This window comes from Homo sapiens, chromosome 2, assembly GCF_000001405.40.
Source record: "Homo sapiens chromosome 2, GRCh38.p14 Primary Assembly".
Lineage (NCBI taxonomy): Eukaryota > Metazoa > Chordata > Mammalia > Primates > Hominidae > Homo > Homo sapiens.
This window is the reverse complement of record NC_000002.12, coordinates 10,758,245-10,776,178: the sequence shown is the minus strand read 5'-3', so window position 1 is coordinate 10,776,178 and position 17,934 is coordinate 10,758,245. Positions and strand designations below refer to the sequence as shown.

The 17,934-nt window shown below is 54.4% G+C and overlaps 1 protein-coding gene and 1 long non-coding RNA gene across 16 annotated transcripts in view, besides 3 other annotated features; one reads left to right on the top strand and one right to left on the bottom strand.

The window, feature by feature from the left end:
* ATP6V1C2 (ATPase H+ transporting V1 subunit C2) overlaps positions 1-17,934 on the bottom strand; it is a 64,168-nt gene that overhangs the window by 8,932 nt on the left and 37,302 nt on the right. For 10 of the 15 annotated variants that reach the window (XR_922661.2, XM_047443860.1, XM_047443858.1 and 7 more), the window contains 6 exons: positions 11,754-11,848; positions 7,369-7,460; positions 4,242-4,340; positions 3,569-3,637; positions 1,299-1,391; positions 1,108-1,201 (listed from right to left, as the gene is read on the bottom strand). Coding sequence is in view for 14 of the 15 variants with exons in the window: in XM_047443860.1 (XP_047299816.1) it covers positions 1,108-1,201; positions 1,299-1,391; positions 3,569-3,637; positions 4,242-4,340; positions 7,369-7,460; positions 11,754-11,848 (542 nt within the window). In the remaining variant the exon portion in view is untranslated. Of the gene's footprint in view, positions 1-1,107; positions 1,202-1,298; positions 1,392-1,417; positions 1,507-3,568; positions 3,638-4,241; positions 4,341-5,219; positions 5,839-7,368; positions 7,493-11,753; positions 11,849-17,934 lie in introns of those variants that run through there. The other 5 variants (XM_047443861.1, XM_047443862.1, XM_047443863.1 and 2 more) reach the window with 3 other exon arrangements.
* On the top strand, positions 2,776-8,309 carry LOC105373428 (uncharacterized). Its single transcript, XR_922797.4, has 3 exons — positions 2,776-3,738; positions 6,124-6,182; positions 7,386-8,309. It is a non-coding gene; the product is annotated as an uncharacterized LOC105373428 (long non-coding RNA).
* Positions 4,324-4,479: a silencer, noted in NCBI's record as "fragment chr2:10911826-10911981 (GRCh37/hg19 assembly coordinates)". NCBI's record gives its function as "represses an EF-1alpha promoter that drives an FKBP-Casp9 reporter gene in an ReSE screen in K562 erythroleukemia cells {active_cell/tissue: K562}" and the evidence as "EXISTENCE:reporter gene assay evidence [ECO:0000049][PMID:32094911]".
* Positions 10,249-10,786: an enhancer, noted in NCBI's record as "H3K4me1 hESC enhancer chr2:10905519-10906056 (GRCh37/hg19 assembly coordinates)". NCBI's record gives its function as "activates a minimal SCP1, AML or CMV promoter by ChIP-STARR-seq in naive H9 embryonic stem cells {active_cell/tissue: H9 hESC(naive)}" and the evidence as "EXISTENCE:reporter gene assay evidence [ECO:0000049][PMID:30033119]".
* Positions 16,749-17,329: an enhancer, noted in NCBI's record as "H3K27ac-H3K4me1 hESC enhancer chr2:10898976-10899556 (GRCh37/hg19 assembly coordinates)". NCBI's record gives its function as "activates a minimal SCP1, AML or CMV promoter by ChIP-STARR-seq in primed H9 embryonic stem cells {active_cell/tissue: H9 hESC(primed)}" and the evidence as "EXISTENCE:reporter gene assay evidence [ECO:0000049][PMID:30033119]".

Here is a 17,934-nt window from a genome sequence, read left to right as displayed (position 1 = left end):
AAAGGGAAACAGACCAGACCAGAGGGGCTCCGAGAACCCCACTACGGGGGCTCCGTGGCTGGGCTCGCTTGTGACGGGGTGGCTGCTCATCCCCAGTCCCTGCAAAAAGGTCGCTGACAGACAGGCCAGGTCCCCAGGAGCCCGGAGCACACACTTGGCAGCACGGACACTGGGAGCACTCCCAGCCTGCCCGCGGCCACGGCGCTCCTCCCCATGGGAGTCCTCACAGTGCTGTGTTCACACAGTGACTTTCCCCCAAAGGCCTCAAGAACTTTCTACTCATTCCTCCTGCCCTGTCACTAGAGGCTGGACTGGAAGGTGCTCACGGAACCCTCCCTGGTGGGCATGAGGAAGAAGGGTCCCAAAAACATTCCACCCAGACAGGCTCCTTCCAAGTTGCCCAGCCTAGCCCAGCATCGCAGCAGGAGAACCTGAGTATGGAAGGTGCCCACTTCCCGGAGCGGTGGAGGGACCTTCCCAAAGCTCTCCTGCTCACAATTCAAACGTGAGCATCTAGTTTTGCTCCCTGGTGAGCTACGCTGTCCTCCTCCGTGAAGGGTTTCTGAGTGGCTGTGGTCGGAAGTCTCCAGATAAGCACCCTCTCCGCACTAAGGACACGGGAGGTAAATACAGGGGCTAGTGGCGCCCTGGAAACCTCACGGCTGCAATCTCCAAGGCCCAGCACTGCCCACCCTGCACACAGATGCTCCCGCCTGGAGCCCACGTGCCTTGCTCAGTCCAAGGAAGGCCTGGCAGGGTCCTCTGGCCAGCTTGCCTCTCAGAGCCTCAGTTTCTCCATACTGTGGAGCTAGCAACCCCTTCCTGGCAGGGCGGTGCTCAGGACCAGTGAGAACACATGTGGAAAGCGCCAGCTTGGGTGGGCCCCCGGCTCCCGCCCCCAGCTCCACCGCCTGGGCTCCTTTGTGCTCACCGCCCCTCCCCCCAGACCCTGCTCAGGCGTCCCATGAGAACAGACGGTCCCCATGGTGTGAGCCCAGGAGCCTGGGGACAATGAGAGGGAGGAGGGAGAGCTGGAGACCTGGGAGGACTCTTCTATCCCCAGGCCTCCGGGTAGGGGCGGGAGGAGCTGCTCAATCACATACTCACATACTGTTGCTTCTTATCAGACAGCAATCTGGCCATCTCCTCCCTTTCCCTTTCAATTTCCTTCTCATCATAGTAAAATTCACGAACAGTGAACCTTAAAACAAGCAAATCATGGGTTTTCACTCAGAAGCTTTCCAGAGGGGCAGAGACCCCCCGCAGCGGGAGATGAACCAAACCTGGAGGACCCTTACTTGTTTTCTTTGGCCTTGGTTTTGAAATCTTCAATCACTTTTCGAAACAGAGTCACAGTGAAAAGGCCCCCTTCCTTGTCCTCAGTAATGAGTCTGTTGGAGAGAAGCATCTGTTGGCTGGACTCACTGCTAGGCCTTGTGCGGGAGTGGGGCTCAGAGGCCCCGGGCCTGGTGGCCTGCACCTGGGGTCCATGGCAGCAGCTGAGGGCTGGGGAACCAAGGACACTCCCTGAGATTTCCTAACTCCTGGCTGCCTGCCCTTCCCTCCTGCCCCTTCCACACCCCTCCAGGCTAAGGCCTCAGGGGGCCTCGGGGTGCAGGGAGTGTAGGGGCCTGGGCTTTAGCTCCCGCTTATCAAATTCCTGAGAGACCAAGCCCTCCTGGGCCTCCGTCACCACAGCTGGCACAGGGTGTCCCTGGCTCTGACGTGCTGCCTGATAGTAAAGCAGAGTGGTGGAAACTATCCTACAAGGTCCATTTCACTTCCAATATCACAAAGTCCTAATGGGACACAGCCTCCCAAGCAAGTCTCAACACAGGACCACTGGGGCCACTGTCTCTAGCAACTCAGGAATTCTTGGGGCCAGGAGTCTAAGCATCTCTGAGTCCTATTGGCCAGAAGACTGGAAGTGGGAGCCCTCAGGCCCAGACACGATCTCACAGCATGCTGGCATGCTGGCAGGGTCACCCTTCCTGTTTCTCAGAGCCCATGCCCATAGGGGCTGCCGCCAGACTCCAGGTATTTCCAGAGTCATCTGTGCAGGCTTTCAGGTGGCCTGTGACAATGAAGGGCCTGAGGCTCTGGTCTGGGAGGCCAGGCCACCTACCAAGGCAGCCGGCCCTGTCAAGGATCCCCGGCTCTTGGCCTTTAAGAGCAGTGAATGCTCCTGCCAGCACACTGGCTTCAAGGGCCAGCTCCTCTGCTCCAGAGCCTTGCTCCTCTTCCCTGCCTCCCCTGTAACCTCGGGCTGTGATTGTCCTGTTCCTTGCACCCTTCAATTTAGATCCCGATTGCCATCTCGTAGCCCTGGGAGATCCCCGTCCCCCAGCAGGGGCCCCAGGGCAGAGGCCTTGCACCGGGAGTTCTGTGTGTGGGGAGTCAGATGAACAGGCTGGCTGCCTGACGCGCATTCTAAAACCTCTTCAAATTACAAACCTTCTCGGCCATACAAAAAGGTACAGAGGAAAATGAGTACCAAGCTGGGTGTGGTGGCTCACACGTGTAATCCTAGCACTTTGGGAGGCTGAGGCAGGCGGATCACCTGAGGTCAGGAGTTCGAGACCAGCCTGGCCAACACAGTGAAACCCCATCTCTACCAAAAATACAAAAATTAGCTGGCCGTGTTGGTGCACGCCTATAATCCCAGCTACTTGAGAGGCTGAGGTAGAAGAGTTGCTTAAACCCGGAAGGCGGAGGTTGCAGTGAGCTGAGCTCGGGCCACTGCACTCCAGCCTGGGCAACAGAGTGAGACTCCATCTCAAAAAAAGGAAAACGCGCAGCTTTGGATCAGCCACCCAAAACCAAAGTTCCAGCAGGTGAAAGCCCACATGCCCCTACCCCACTATGTGCCACTCACTCCATCCTGAGCCACTACCATCCTGAGTGTGGCCTTCCTGCCCGTGACCCATCCCCACAATTCCTTGTGCACCTGTGTGTGCCCGAGTCACGCCCATTTCACATCCATTTCAGACCCTCTGCTCCTCTGCAGCTGCCTTTCCCCTTCATCCCTCCTGACACACAGGGCCTGGCATCCTTGGTTCCCCCGCCATGCAGTGTCCCGTGATGGACAGTCTGTAACCCGCTCTCCTCCTGTCACTGTGACAGGACCCACTGGCTACTGCTGCTCTGGCCCCTGCAGGCCACACGCTGAGGCCGCTTTCCCTCCCGGCTCCCGCTGTGGCCGTTCACTGGGCAGCCACTTAGGCCAGGGCTGGCTTCCCCCTCTGGCAGGGAAGAATTGACGCTGAGCCGAGAACACAGAGCCAGAATGCAGCAGAGGCAACGGCGTGGAGAGGCTGCTCGGCCAGGTGGGGCCAGGGCAGCCTTCCCAGGGCAGGGGCAGGGAAGTGAAGTTTTGAAAGAGGAAGGCACTCTGGCATGTGACAAGGTGGGCGACCCTGACAGAATTCCAGGCCAAGGGACAGGAGAGGGCCCAGGTGTGGAAAGCTGGGGAGCCTCACACCCTCGGGGCATGTTTGGTGGTTGGGTGCCCTGAAGCACCCACACATGTACCCCAGGGGCCCTGGGACCAAGCTGGGGTCTCACTTACTTGGTTGATCGAGGGACCACCATGTCTGAGAGAGATTCGTAGGTTTTTTGCCATTGTGAGTAGTTTGGTCTGCAAGAACATAGAATCGTTACGTGATTTTTTGCAGAAAAGGCTCGTGGGTGTCCTGAGTGCCTAGGAAGCTGCACACCCCTTTTCCTGAAGGCCTGAAGGTGAGCAGGGATGGGGTCAGAGGGAGCCCTCACCTCCCCTGAGGTCTGCTGTTCCCATGGGGAATCCCCTGCCCAGCCTCCACAGGGTACCCACAGAAGTCCCTTTGTGAAGAGCTATGGATACACTTGGGGCTCGCTAATAACCATCTAATCCGGGCCCCGTGTGACCTTGGACAAGCTAACCGACCTCTCCAGCCTCAGGACAATGGGAATCACCAGACTTCCCAGGCCTTTGGTGAGGATGAAATAAAATAATGTCGACCACACATTGGGTATATAGCAAGTGCTCAATAAATGGCTGCTTCTATCGTGGCCACAACCACCATCACCCAACCACTGTCCCTACTGACAGCCGCAGGCAGGGCCCCATGAAGGAATGACTGCTTCCCGAGAACTGGGGCTGGGCAGGGAGCATCCTCGTCCACACTGCCCAAGTCACCAACGGGTCCACCTTCCTCTCCACTGGGCAGGGCCGGTTTCCTTCGTGATCGCCCAGCACTCACTTGGGGACGATGACCAGAAGTGTGACGAGATATTCAGAATCCAGCACGAAGTCCTCTTTGCTCACAATATCACTCAGTGTCCGGGTGAAGAGGTTCCCCCTAAAAGGCAGGTGGAACAAAGGGTGTGAAAGATGTGAGCAGAAAGGGACACAGTGACCCCACACACACCCACACCCGGGCACTGGGGGCAGTTCTCAAGGAAGGGTGGGTGCCAGGGATGCTGGAGCCTAGGAGAACACAGCAATTCTCAGCAATGATTGCTCCCCACAACCCCAGGGCCAGGCTCTGTGCTGGGGCCACAGCTGCTGCCTCCTCCCCTCCAGGGACAGGGAGGCTGGCAGGGCCTCGGGTGCTATCACCCGTCACCCAAGGGGCTGCCGAATCCAACACCTCAGTGACCTGCGCTGCCCTGGTGCCAGCTCCGGCTGCTATGGGAGGGGGCCTCGGGTGGCAGGCAGCTAAAGTTACTCAAGTGTCAACACAACGGCCAGCTCTTAGGGCTGCGTTGAGCCGTCCTCGATAGAGCTCCGTGTCACTTTACAGGCCTCCCAGCCCAGCACCCAGGGGACACTCACCTGAAATGCTTTCTACATGCCCAGTGGACCTGGTCTGAGTGTAGGGTATGGTATTATTGGCACATGGATCAAGGCTGTCGGATCAGTAAATGGGCCAAGATCTCACTACCCAGGCTGTATGTGGCATCAGCACAGGGGCCGTGACGTCGGCACACAGTGCTTCCCCGGGAAATCGCTCTCCAGCGTTGAGCCATGGCCAAAGCTTTAAAGGCAATGGGAAACACCCTCCTCAGGGAGCCTGCGTGGCTTCTTTGCTGTCCCCTGCCTGAACATCACTGACCAGCTGCGTGGCCATGGATAAAGCCCTTAGGTTCCTTCTCCCTGGGCACCGCATGCATGAGCCTCCCTGTCCTAGCACTGAACACGTTACCCTTACACTATCCCACCTCTCTCCCTGGCTCACCTCTGAATCCCCAACACGAAGCCAACTTTCCACACGTTTGTTGAATGAATAACTGTGAGCTCTGCAAGTGCAAAAATTGTATTGTATTCTGCTTTATATCTTTAGGGTCTAGCATCGGGCCTGAGGGCACAGTGCATACTTGGTTTGTGTACAAAGAAGAAAAGAGAGCGCAGAGGAGGGAGTTAGAAACGTTCATCCCTCTTTGTACGCCGCCCTCCTATACTTGGTATATGCACTTAGTAAATCAATTAAAGTCACTGCGAATCAATGATGATCAATGGATGAATGAACCTCACCAGTTGAGCGAAGAGGCTAGACCAGATGTTTGCACAAGTCCCAACCAATCCTGAAGAAATCCATCTCAGGGTGATGCCATGCGAGTGGATGGCCCCATGGCCTGTGGGCTCTAAGCCAGGACGGACAGATGACCCATCCCCTTAGGGCTCTCTGCCCCGGCGCCCGGCCCCTGTCCCATCCTCCATAGCTCATGCCCACTTACTTCTGACATAAAGCCAGGCATCCAACAGCAAGGGTTTCCAGTTGAAGTGGGCTTTTTTGTTTGAGATGGAGTTTCACTCTTGTTGCCCAGGCTGGAGTGCAGTGGCGTGATCTCGGCTCACTGCAACCTCCTCCTCCCGGGTTCAAGCGATTCTCCTGCCTCAGCCTCCCGAGTAGCTGGGATTACAGGCACGCACCATGACGCACGGCTAATTTTGTATTTTTAGTAGAGACAAGGTTCCTCTATGTTGGTCAGGCTGTTCTCAAACTCCTGGCCTCAGGTGATCCACCTGCCTCAGCCTCCCAAAGTGCTGGGACTACAGGCATGAGCCACCATGCCTGGCCTAAAAACCATCTATGGTTTTTAATTTTCCTTCCACTAATGTACCATTTGCTTTTTTCACAGGAAGACAGCTGGCCCAGTGACCCTCAGAAGTGGATTGCAGAAGTGGGGGTACCTCCCAGGTAACATTCTCTTTGCTTACAGTAGTGGGCCAATCAGGGGGAGGGCAGCTGGTTCGGGGCTCCCTGCGCCACTTCCCTTCTCTGGAGTTAGGGGCCAAGTGTAGGTATTATATTGAAAACTCTACAATTGACCAGGGTTCTCAAAGAACCGCCAACAGCATCAGATCCAGAGTCTGGGGGGACTGGGCTGCTCCTCCATGCCAACCCCACCCCACCCTGTTCAGGAGCAGCCTCTCCAGCAGGAGCTCACCTGGCTTCTCTCTCTCCCTGTTTTTTTTGTTTGTTTGTTTGTTTTTGAGGCAGAGTCTTACTGTATGCCCAGGCTGGAGTGCAGTGGCGATCTCAGCTCACTGCAACCTCTGTCTGCCAGGTTCAAGTGATCCTCGTGCCTCAGCCTCCCAAGTAGCTAGAAGTACAGATGCATGCCACCATGCCCAGCTAATTTTTGTATTTTTAGTAGGGACGGGGTTTCACCATGTTGGCCAGACTGGTCTCAAACTTTTGGCCTCACGTAATCCGCCCGCCTCAGCCTCCCAAAGTGCTGGGATTACAGGCATGAGCCACCAGCCTGGCCACCTGGCTTCTCTTACACACCTCCAACAACAGGACACTCACTACACCTCACAAGACAGTCCCTGCCACGGTGTTGCTGAGCTTACACTTTTCTCTGGCATCTCCACCATCCTGGTGACTGTTCTGTCTGTGGAGCCTGCTCCCTCTCCCACACAGTGGTTCTTCAGGTGGGTGGAGAAGGCACCTGAGTCCCTGAGGCTGCTCTGCTCTGGGCCACAGAGCCCACCACCCTGCTGCGCTTTGCAACGGGCCGTGCGCTGACATCCTGGCCTCCCGTCACCCCTGGGGGCCCTCCGTGCAGCCTCCACAGGGGAGGACTGGGGGCAGCACCCAGGCGCCCTGGAGAAGCTGGGAGATGGAAGCGTGCGGTGAGGAGCAGCATGGCCACATCCTCTTCCCTGGGCACATGCACGGGGTGTGATCACCCTCACCTGGCCCTTTCCTCCTCTCCCAGCACGCGGCTCTTGGAGAGGTGAGAGTGCCTCCACCTGTCTGTCTGTCTCACTCTCATGCATGGGCACAGACTCCCAGGTGGCCCAGTGAGAGGACAGGCAAGCGCTAAGCCCCCGCCAGGACCTGCCCCCGCCAGATGTGGAGGCTGGCAAATACACACATGGATTTCTTTTCCAGGTTCTCCAGGTTTGTCTTCAGAGTGTTGTAGGCGGCCGTTCGGGACTTCAGGTCCATCTCGATCTGCGCCAGTTGCTGTTTTGGGAAAGCAAAAGCTCCAGGTGACCCTGAGCATTGAAGGAGTTGGCTGAACTTTTTGAAATGGCCACAACAGCTCATGGTGCTTTCAAGAAAAATAACTGCCCTGCCCATTTGCTGGGATGGCTTCTGTTTACCAGCATTTGGCCCTTCCAGGGAGCCCCTGTGTGGCACCCAGGCGCCAAGCCATGATGGATTTTCTAGGATGACTCAGTGAGCCCAACCTTTCCTGATTTCAAGCCCATCCTGAACGGTCGGGACATCCCACGCCCACACCTACCCTCTCAGGCTCTGCTGGAGGGCAGCTCAGGCTGACCCCCAATCGTTGCTTCCAGGGGTACCCGACATGGCCTGGCCCTCTCAAATGCCCATGTCTCCTGGCTCGGCTGTGCCGATCTCCCTCTCATGGGTTGGCAGGGGCAGGGAGGTGCAGTGGACAGAAACAAGACAGGCCTGGGCTCAAGCCACGCCCTCCTGCTTTCTGGCCGACTGGCTCAGGTTTCCCCATTTGTTCCACAGCGGGGATAATGCCAGTGCTGAGAGCCGACTGTGCCAGGCTCCTTCACATTCCCTCCTCGCAGCCCCACGTCGTGACACCCCACCAGCTTTGACAACCAGCCACGGCAGGAGCATTTACACCACGGTCATCCACAAATGCTACAGGCCAGCACACGGCTGCTGACGGGAGAATCTCAAGAGTCAACAGATGAAGAAAATGGGTGCTCCATAGAATGCCAACAGCTTTAGTCTAAATATACACATTTTTATACATGGAAGAATCCATTGTCAACTTTTAAACATTGGTTACCTTTTGGGAGAATAAAGGGAATGGGGGCGATGATCACAGCTCGGATGATATTATTATTTTAAAGATAAAATCATAAAATAATTTTAAAGATAAAATAAATATAATTAAAATGATAAAATGATTAAATTAAATGATTATATTAAAATGGTAGACTGGGCGAGGTAGCTCACGCCTGTAATCCCAGCACTTTGGGAGGCCGAGGCGGGCAGATCACCTGAGGTCAGGAGTTTGAGACCAGCCTGGCCAACATGGTAAAACCCTGCCTCTACTAAAAATACAAAAAGTGGCTGGGCTTGGTGGTGGATGCCTGTAATCCCAGCTACTCAGGAGGCTGAGGCAGGAGAATTGCTTGAACCCGGGAGGTGGAAGTTGCAGTGAGCTGAGATCACACCACTGTACTCCAGCTTGGGTGACAGAGTGAGACTCTGTCTCAAAAAAATATATAATAAAATGGGCCAGGCACATGTCTGAAATCCTAGCACTTTGAGAGGCAGAGATGGGCAGATTGCCTGAGCTCAGGAGTTTGGGACCAGCCTGGGCAACAGGGTGAAACCCTGTCTCTACTCAAAATACAGAAAAGTTAGCCAGGCATGGCAGTGTGTGCCTATAATCCCAACTACTCGGGAGGCTGAGGCAGGATAATTGCTTGAACCAGGGAGGTGGAGGCTGCAGTGAACCAAGATCACACCACTGCACTCCAGTCTGGGCAACACAGTGAGACTCTGCCTCAAAAAAAAAAAAAAAAAAAGATAAAAAATGATAATTAAAAAAATATTTAAAGATAAAGTGATGATTTTAAAGATAAAAACTAAATGTTTTTCTCTTTACATTTTGCCATTTTTCTTAATAAAATGCATCTTTTTATAATAATTTTTTTAAAACTTTTAATTTTGAAATGATTATAGATTCACAGGACGTTGCAAAAATAGTACACAGAGATCCTAAGTCCCCTCCATGCAGTTTCCCACAGTGATTTCCCACAGCTCACTATACAACTATACTATTCTGCACTATACAACTACATACCATACTGTACTATGCAACTATATTGTACAACTATACAACTATATTAAAATCTTCTGCACGATAGAAGTATACTGTACAACTGTATAGTATACGGCATTATGCAACTATACAACTATATGAGTACTATTTTGCACTATACAGCTCTGTGACTACACTGTACTGTCCTATACAACTATACGATACTATTCTGCACTATACCGTCATAGTGCAGTATCATAACCAGGAAACTGACATGGGTGTAATCCACAGATCTTGCTTTTTAAAATAAGATTTATATATTTTTTGAAAAACAAAAAAACGAAAAAAAATACTGCTTGTCTTTATTTTTCTGATTTCACCACAAGCCAATGAAAAATTGCTGAGAGGTATTTGGGAGCCAGTAAAGCAGTGATAGGAACTAGGGCTTTCGAACCAGTAAGGCCCACATTTAAATGCCAGTTCTGACTTTTACTGGCTGTGTGACCTGACATAAGCTCCTTGACCTCTCTGAGCAAAGTGGCCTGGAATTATTGTGAGATGATAGAGGAGTCTCCTTTGACTAAATGTCTCTAGTTGATAGATTGAGACCTCTCGTTGGCAGAGCGAGGCTGAGGCGGGGGGTGTCACACTGTGTTGCCGGTGTAGGAAGGACTGAGGGAGACAACACCCCGGAGCCTCTGCCCCTGCTGCTGCCAGGAGCTGCTTCCCTGTGGTTGGGCCAGTCCAGGGCTTCCTTGGGAAGTGGTGTCATGCACACAGCACAATCCGCAGGCTCTGGTCCCCAAGACCTGCATCCCCATCCCGGCATAATACTCCAACCGCTGCAGGTCCTGGATCGCTCGCTCAACCCCTCAGCTTCCTCTTCTGCACTCAGAGGAAAGTGATGTCCACCCCATGGCATGAGGCGGACAGTAAGAGAGCCCAGCACAGTCTCGGGCACATCTGGAATGCCACCAAACCAGTGCCCTCCTTCCTTCCTGCCAAAGGCACTCTAGGGGTGCTCTGGACTGGAGAAGCCAGGTCTCCCGACAGCCCCTCTGCTCCCTCCATGTGCTCCAGGGGGCCCTTCCCACTGAGTCTGGCATCCCTGGGACTGAGAGAATCCCAAATTGGCACATGGTGAGGCAGGGAAGGGCCAGCCCCACCAGCCATCATGTGCTTCCAGTTCCTTGGTGGACATGCACAGCGCCCTCTGAAAGGCACACCTGGCACAGGTGCTCTGGGCACACCCTCCTTGAAGGGCCTTCCAGAATCACTGCCTGATCGTCCCAGCAGGGGCCTGAGCCTCTCTGATGTAAGCAGCACCCGAGGTGCCCCACCCAGATTCCCGAGCTTTCTGGCCCCACCCTACTTTCCAGGAGACCTGCAGGAGCTGCCAGAGGACAGGTGAGAGGCCCAGCTCCACTCTGACCCTTGGCCACAGTCACAGTAGAAAACCGGGTGCCTTTGTTCCTGGCCCAGGCCGAGACTCTCCCACAGCCATGGGGGCCAGCAGGAGAGGGGACACATTAGGGGCTCAGTGTTTTGTGGCAGAAGGGAGGGCCAGGCCATCAGAAACCATCAGCCTCAGTCTCACAGTCCTTGTCACCCTCACCTTCAGTGATGATACAGAGAAGTCACCCAGCTCCAGGTGCCCATAGCATCCCCTGGGACTCGAGTCACAGGGTGTTCATTTTATCAAGTGGAGTGGAGGCCATTGCTGAACAGGACAGAGGACTGTCAGGACACTCACTGCCTCTCCATTGTCACAAGTGGAGAGCAACGAGCTGGTGCAGTGTCTGAAGAGGTTAGGGCTCCCAGGCCAAACTCTCCACTTAAACCAAATAGCTTTGCAGGTGAACAATCCCCTGGGGGCTAGAGGTGTCAGGTTCCTAGGAGTAGATGATGAGGGAGCTGCCTTCACCATCAGTAACTTTTTTTTTTTTTGGTGGGGGGACGGAACCTCATTCTGTTGCCCAAGCTGGAGAGCAGTGGCATGATCTCGGCTCACTGCAACCTCCACCTCCCGGGTTCAAGTGATTCTCCTGCCTCAACCTCCCGAGCAGCAAGGACTACAGGTGTGCGCCACCACGCCTGGCTAATTTTTGTATTTTTTAGTAGAGACAGGGTTTCACCATATTGGACAGACTGGTCTCGAACTCCTGACCTCATGATCCACCCACCTTGGCCTCCCAAAGTGCTGGGATTACAGGCGTAAGCCACCGTGCCCGGCCACCATCAGTAACTTTTGAAAAAAGAAGTGGAGCAGCAAGTGAATGGGTGCTGGGCCCTCGAGGGGAGGCCAGGGGACTGGCTCTTTCCCTGTCCAGGGCTGCCCTGAAACCCCAAACCTGCCCAGTGCATGGAAGGAGGCCACACCTCAGAAACCCAGAGGCCCAGTCAGGACAGGCTGAGGCTGTTGGCAGGGGGGCCCTACCCAGGCTCTTGCCCGCCTGACCCACCAGTCAGCTGTTCCCCAGAGCAGTCCCTTTTCTCACCTTGGCTATTGTGTCCACCACACTCACGAGCGGCTGCTTGACAGGATATTTGGCCATGTCCCATTCAAAGTGGGTCACAAAGGATGTTAAGTCAACTGGAAGAATACAAACACATTTCAACACATGAGCCTGCGCTCTGCATCCATGATTGAGACTTCGGAATCCCAAGCCAAGCATCAGCGTGGACACGAAGGCAGCCATCATGGGCAACGCCGGCGGGCAGGCACAGGGCTCTGGAAAAGCAAACGTTCCCTGCGGGAGCGGGGAGCTGTGAGCCAGTGGGAGCTGTCAGCCCAAGCACTAGACAGTTTCAATCTTCACTGTCCATTACAAAGAAGGCATTTTACACATTAGCAAAATACTGGACTGTGTGACTGTGGTTTATATTAAACGGCAGGGAGGTGCGTTTTTCAGTATATGCTATTTAGAGAAAAGTCTCTGGGGAACAGACCACACCAGTGTTTTCAAGCATTTCCTTTTTTTCTTTTCTTTCCCCAAAACCCACTGCCTTCAGGATGCCTCTGGCTCATTCTAACCAGGTGTGGGGTGGAGAGAGCCCCAGAATTGAAGTCAGAAAGAAGCAACACTGAATAAACCTCAGCTGACTCAACCCCCAGGGCTCTAGGCTAGGAGGGAATCAATTTCCCTACCTGAGACACAGCGGAGTGGCACCTTGCCTGCTCTCTTCAGGTTAGTTCTCCACACTCTTGAAGAGAGCTACCTGGGCCAGCCGCCCCAGGACCTGACCTCTTTTAATACGCCGGGTCTATGGAAGAGCGGGAAATTCCCTGGAAGCTGCAGCGCCACGGTGGCCCCTGGAATTCCTGTGCCCCTGGCAGAGGGCCCTTCCCATGGCGGATGTCCCAGCCTAGGCTCCCTGTGCACCTACACTTCCTGGTCTATCCTGGTGCATGAAAGGGGACTGTCACGCTCACTCCACACCCATCACCCTGCTGGGGACACACACTAGACACCACCCCCTGCCCAAGGTCCACAGGGAGACCCCTAGGCAGACACACCGCAGAGAGCTGGGGGCCCAGTGATAACCGCCTAGAGTGCTAAGGGAGGACAAAGAGCTGGCGCCGGCTCCTCCTAGGGAGGATCGTGTCCCTTCACTGGGACACAGACATGGTATTCACGTGGAGGCTAAGGGGAAGAGGAGGTGGCCGTGTGGCCGGTGATGGAGGGCGCCGGGTGTCAGGTGAGGAGGGCTGGCAGCGCTACGTACTCGGGGCACTGTGAGTCAGGGAAGAGGGAGTGTGGACGGATGCTGAACAGAAAGGGGTAGGATCGGTCACCAAGGGTCATGTCTGCACTTCACCACGTGCCAAAACAACACTAGATCCCGCCCACTCAGCCCCTAGCACGGGAATTGGACTGAGATTCCTCCAACCCCAACAGCAGCGCCCAGTGGGGTCACCAAACAAGACTCCAGCTGACCAAGGGCAGCAGGCTGGGGACACTCACACACTCTGGGGGAGTCCTCTGAGGCTGGTGTGGAGGAGGCTCCAGGGGAGAAGCCAGCAGGAACGTGGGAGGGAGAGGGTGGTGCCAAGAGGAGTGGGAGGAGCCCTGGGAGGGGAGAGGAGGACAGGGGAGGACCGACTAGACAGGGTGCAAGGCAATGACGCAGGCCTGGCCACGCCAGCTTTCTCGCTGGGTGGCTGGGTGGAGGGAGGGAAGTGCTCTAAGCCGGGCAGCCATGGAGGTGGGAGGGATGGGGATGGAGGAGAGGAGGCAAGTTCTGCCTGGGACAAGCTTGAGTTTGACATGTGGGTGGACAGGTCCCCAAGAAGCAGATGGGAATGAAATGGGACTCAGAGGAGGAAATCGGGCTGGGGAAGAAATGCCAGCACGTGAGACGAAGGAAAGGCCTGAAGATAACAGGACGACGACGGTGACAATGACCATTAAAGCGGCTGGCACTTACTGCTGCTGACCTTGGGCCAAGACACATGAATTATTCCATTTAATTTATGCTTTGCCGGGCGTGGTGGCTCACACCTGTAATCCCAGCACTTTGGGAGGCTGAAGCAGGTGGATCACGAGGTCAGGAGTTTGAGACCAGCCTGGCCAACATGGTGAAACCCCGTCCCTGCTAAAAATGTAAGAATTAGCTGGGCATGGTGGCACACGCCCGTAGTTCCAGCTACTGGGGAGGCTGAGGCAGAAGAATCGCTTGAACCCAGGGGGCAGAGGTTGCAGTGAGCCAAGAATGAGCCACTGCACTCCAGCCTGGGCAACGAAGGGAGACTCCATCTCAAAAAAAAAAAAAAAAAATTTATGCTTCAACCCCATTAAAACCCTATGATGATCTCCATCTTACAGATGAGGAAACGCTGGCACAGAGCAAGCTGTGGAAATTCCAGGATAAAGTGAGATAAGGCGTGAAGCACCTAACGCCCTGCAGGGCCCAGGCAGGGCCACGGCTCCCCTCCCTGCCACATGCACTAAGTGGACACAGCCTTGCTGCAGGTGGAACCTGCCCGGCAACCAAACTCAGACACCTTCTAGGCCACCGGGACTCGGAAGAAGTCCTTGGGAGAATTTGTTTTACAGACTTAGGATGCTGGTGTTGGAATTAACATGGCGAGTCCTGGCCTGTTGACGAGAGTACCTCTGAGGCACTAAGGGTGGGGCCCTGATCCAATAGGATTCGAGGCCATATAAGAAGGGACAGCAGAGAGTTGGATCCGTGCTCTCCCTGTCCTCATACAGGCACCAAGGAAAGGCCATGGGACGATGCAGCAAGAAGGTGGCCGTCTACAAGCCAGGCAGAGAGCCCTCAGGAGAAACCAGGTTGTCTGATCTTAGTCTGTGGTTTAAGCTGCCCAGTCAGTGGTATTTTGTGACAGCAGTCCAGGCTGACTCAGACATTGGTATTAGTTTGGGTATTAATACAGGCTTTGGTATTGCCACACACAATGGGAATGACCTTGTAGCAAGGGTACAGGCCCGGGGTGGAAGTAAGAGCAGGGAGTGGTCAGAGGGTAACCAGGAGGATGGCGGGGACTCCTCCTGTGGCAGGAACGACAGTGAAACTCACCTCCAGGACCCCATTGCACAGGCACAGGCAAGCTCACCTCCCACCATGGGCCCAGAGCCATCCCACAAGCTGGGAACCAGTCTCAAGGCACCAAGCGGCAGCCCAGGATGGGAGATGACAGGGCGGTGTGTGCTGTCCCATCCATCTCTTCCCTCCACCTCCTACCCCGTCCCCTCTGACACCCCAGGCAAGTCCCCACAACTCCCTACTCTCCTCTCACAGTACCTCTGTCCTTCAACACGTAGGACAGGCAAAGACCAACTCCTTCCAGGGGTGGCCCAACTGTCCCTGCCCCTGCTGGCCTGAACTCCACTCCTTGTGCTGTCTCAGGCTCCTCGAGGACAGAGACTGTGACTCACTGGTCTCTGTGTTCCCAGAGCCTGTCGCAGTACCCTGCACAGAGCAAGTGCTCCATAAACATGCTCAAACACTGACAGACCCCCGCCGGCAACCATGACTGTGGTATCAGCTCGCACTGTCTACGTGGCTTGGAAGAGATACATTTCAGATCAAGCTCTTGTCTCTGGCCATTTGCACCAAGTCCAAGGTCTTCATGGCATTCAGACCAAAGGGCTGAGGTCTCCCTTTCCATCTGAAGCACCCCTGCCCTGTAACTCCTCCAAGACTGAACCCACTTCCTGCAGCTTGGTCTTTGTTTCCAAAGACCATGGGGTGCATGTGGCACTATGAGCCCCAGCAAGGCTGTGGCTTCCAGAAGGCAAAGACTGTGTATCACCTCTGCATGTCCAGCATGTGCTTGGTTACTGACAGATGCTCAGGGAAGTCTGAGATTATGTCTCCCTGCAGGGGCCTCCAGAAGCCTCTGGGTGTGTGACTGTGCCTTCTTCCTCATCTCTCACATGTCCTGAACACCAGCTCCAACTGTGTACACTGAGCCTTGCCCTGGGTCAGGCATCCAAGCCCTTCCCTGTCCACGCACCCTGCCTTTGGAAAGAATGTTGTCTGAGGACGGCCCTCTGCCACCCCTCTGGCCTTCTATTTTTTTTTTTGAAATGGATCTCGTTCTGTCGCCCAGGCTGGAGTGCAGTGGCACCATCTTGGCTCACTGCAACCTCTGGCCTCCAGGGTTCAAGCAATTCCCCTGCCTTGGCCTCCCAAGTAGCTGGGATTACAGGCACACGCCATCACACCCAGCCATTTTTTGTATTTTTAGAGGCGAGGTTTCACCATGTTGGCCAGGCTGGTCTCGAACTCCTGACCTCAGGTGATCCGCCCGCCTCGGCCTCCCAGAGTGCTGGATTACAGGCATGAGCCACCGTGACCAGCCAGATCTTGCTTTTTAAAATAAGATTTATATATTTTTTTTCAAAAAGCAAAAAAAAAAAAAACAAAAAACAAAAAACTGCTTGTCTTTATTTTTCTGATTTCACCACAAGCCAATGAAAAATTGGCGAGAGGTATCTGGGAGCCAGTAAAGCAGTGGTAGGAACTAGGGCTTTTGAACCAGTAAGGCTCACATTTAAATGCCAGTTCCAACTTCTACTGGCTGTGCGACCTGATATAAGCTCCTTGACCTCTCTGAGCAAAGTGATATTGTGAGATAATAGAGGAGTCTCCTTTGACTAAATGTCTCTAGTTGACAGATTGAGACCTCTTGTTGTCAGAATGAGGCTGAGACACCCAAAGTGCTGGGATTACAGGCGTGAGCCACCGTGCCCAGCCCCTCCGGCCTTCTGTACTCACAGCACCACAGCTTGCCCTCTGCTGCTTGGAACACACAGGCCTTGCCTCCCCTGCCTGGGGTGCAGTCACTAAAGCCTGGGCCTCAGAGGGGGCAACGCAGACCTTGGCTGAGGGCTCATGAGGTCAGGCCATGACCCAGGCAGGCTCACCCCTCATCAAAATATGCTGTGCACAGGCTGGCAACTCTTGAGCAATGATGGTCTTGTCCGAGAACAAAAAGGAGGCCTGCCCGGCAGGCAGCAGCATGAGGGACTGTGACCAACCAGACTGCGGCCCATCGCCCAGCAAGCCAGACAAGCCTCGAGGGTTTCTGTCTTCTGTGGGCATTCCAGGGCCCAGGCCGGGCAAGGTGTGTTTGCCAGCTGTGGCTGCAATCAAAGCTGTCTGTGTCCTTCCTGCTCCCAGCTCTGCTGGAGGCAAGGAACAAGCAGAAACAACCGGTCCTGACGAAGCCAAGAGCCTTTGAAGCCATTCAGTCCATCTACAGTTGAGAAAAGGAAACTCCAGAAGTGACTTTTGGACCAGGTCTGACCGGCTGCAGGCAGTGGTGCCCTAAATGCCCCCGGAGGAGATAGGATTAAAATGCAACAATGTGTGCCTCTGGTTCATCCTGTCAATCACTAGTTCATGGGTGCCCTGCAGAAGAGAAAGATTTCCTCATTCAGGTAATATTAGGAAAGCCCAAGTCAAACTAAGTTTAAAGGCCTCTCGGCCGGCGCGGTGGCTCACACTTGTAATCCCAGCACTTTGGGAGACTGAGACGGGCGGATCACAAGGTCAAGAGATCAAGACCATCCTGGACAACAAGGTGAAACCCCGTCTCTACTGAAAATACAAAAATTAGCCAGGTATGGTGGCACACGCCTGGGACTACAGTCCCAGCTATTTGGGAGGCTGAGGCAGGAGAATTGCTTGAACCCAGGAGGCAGAGGTTGCAGTGTGCCGAGATCCCACCACTGCATTCCAGCCTGGCGACAGAGCAAGACTCCGTCTCAAAAAGAAAAAGAAAAAAAAAAAAAGGTCTCTCTGGCCTGGTTTATAGCACATGCTGTGTTTTGTTTTGTTTTGTTTTGTTTTAAGAGACAAGGTCTTGCTATGTTGTCCAGGCTGGCGTGTGGTGGCTATGGACAGGCACAACCACAGGGCACTATAGCCTCGAACTCCCGGCCCCAGGCAATCCTCCCACCTCAGCCTCCCTACAGCCTCCAGGCTTCAGAATGTGCTTTACCAGCTCTAGTCTTGGGAAGTTGAGACCCGACTCACGGGAGGCACAGAGGTCATAAAGCCCGTTCAACAAATGAAGCTGAATTTTCTTCTCCTGAGAAGAGAGGCCACTGCTGCTACCATCGGGACTGGGGATGGATACTGCATAATACTAACATCTAACTTAAGGTTACATTAATTTTGCGTAAAACATAAGCACTTTGATCA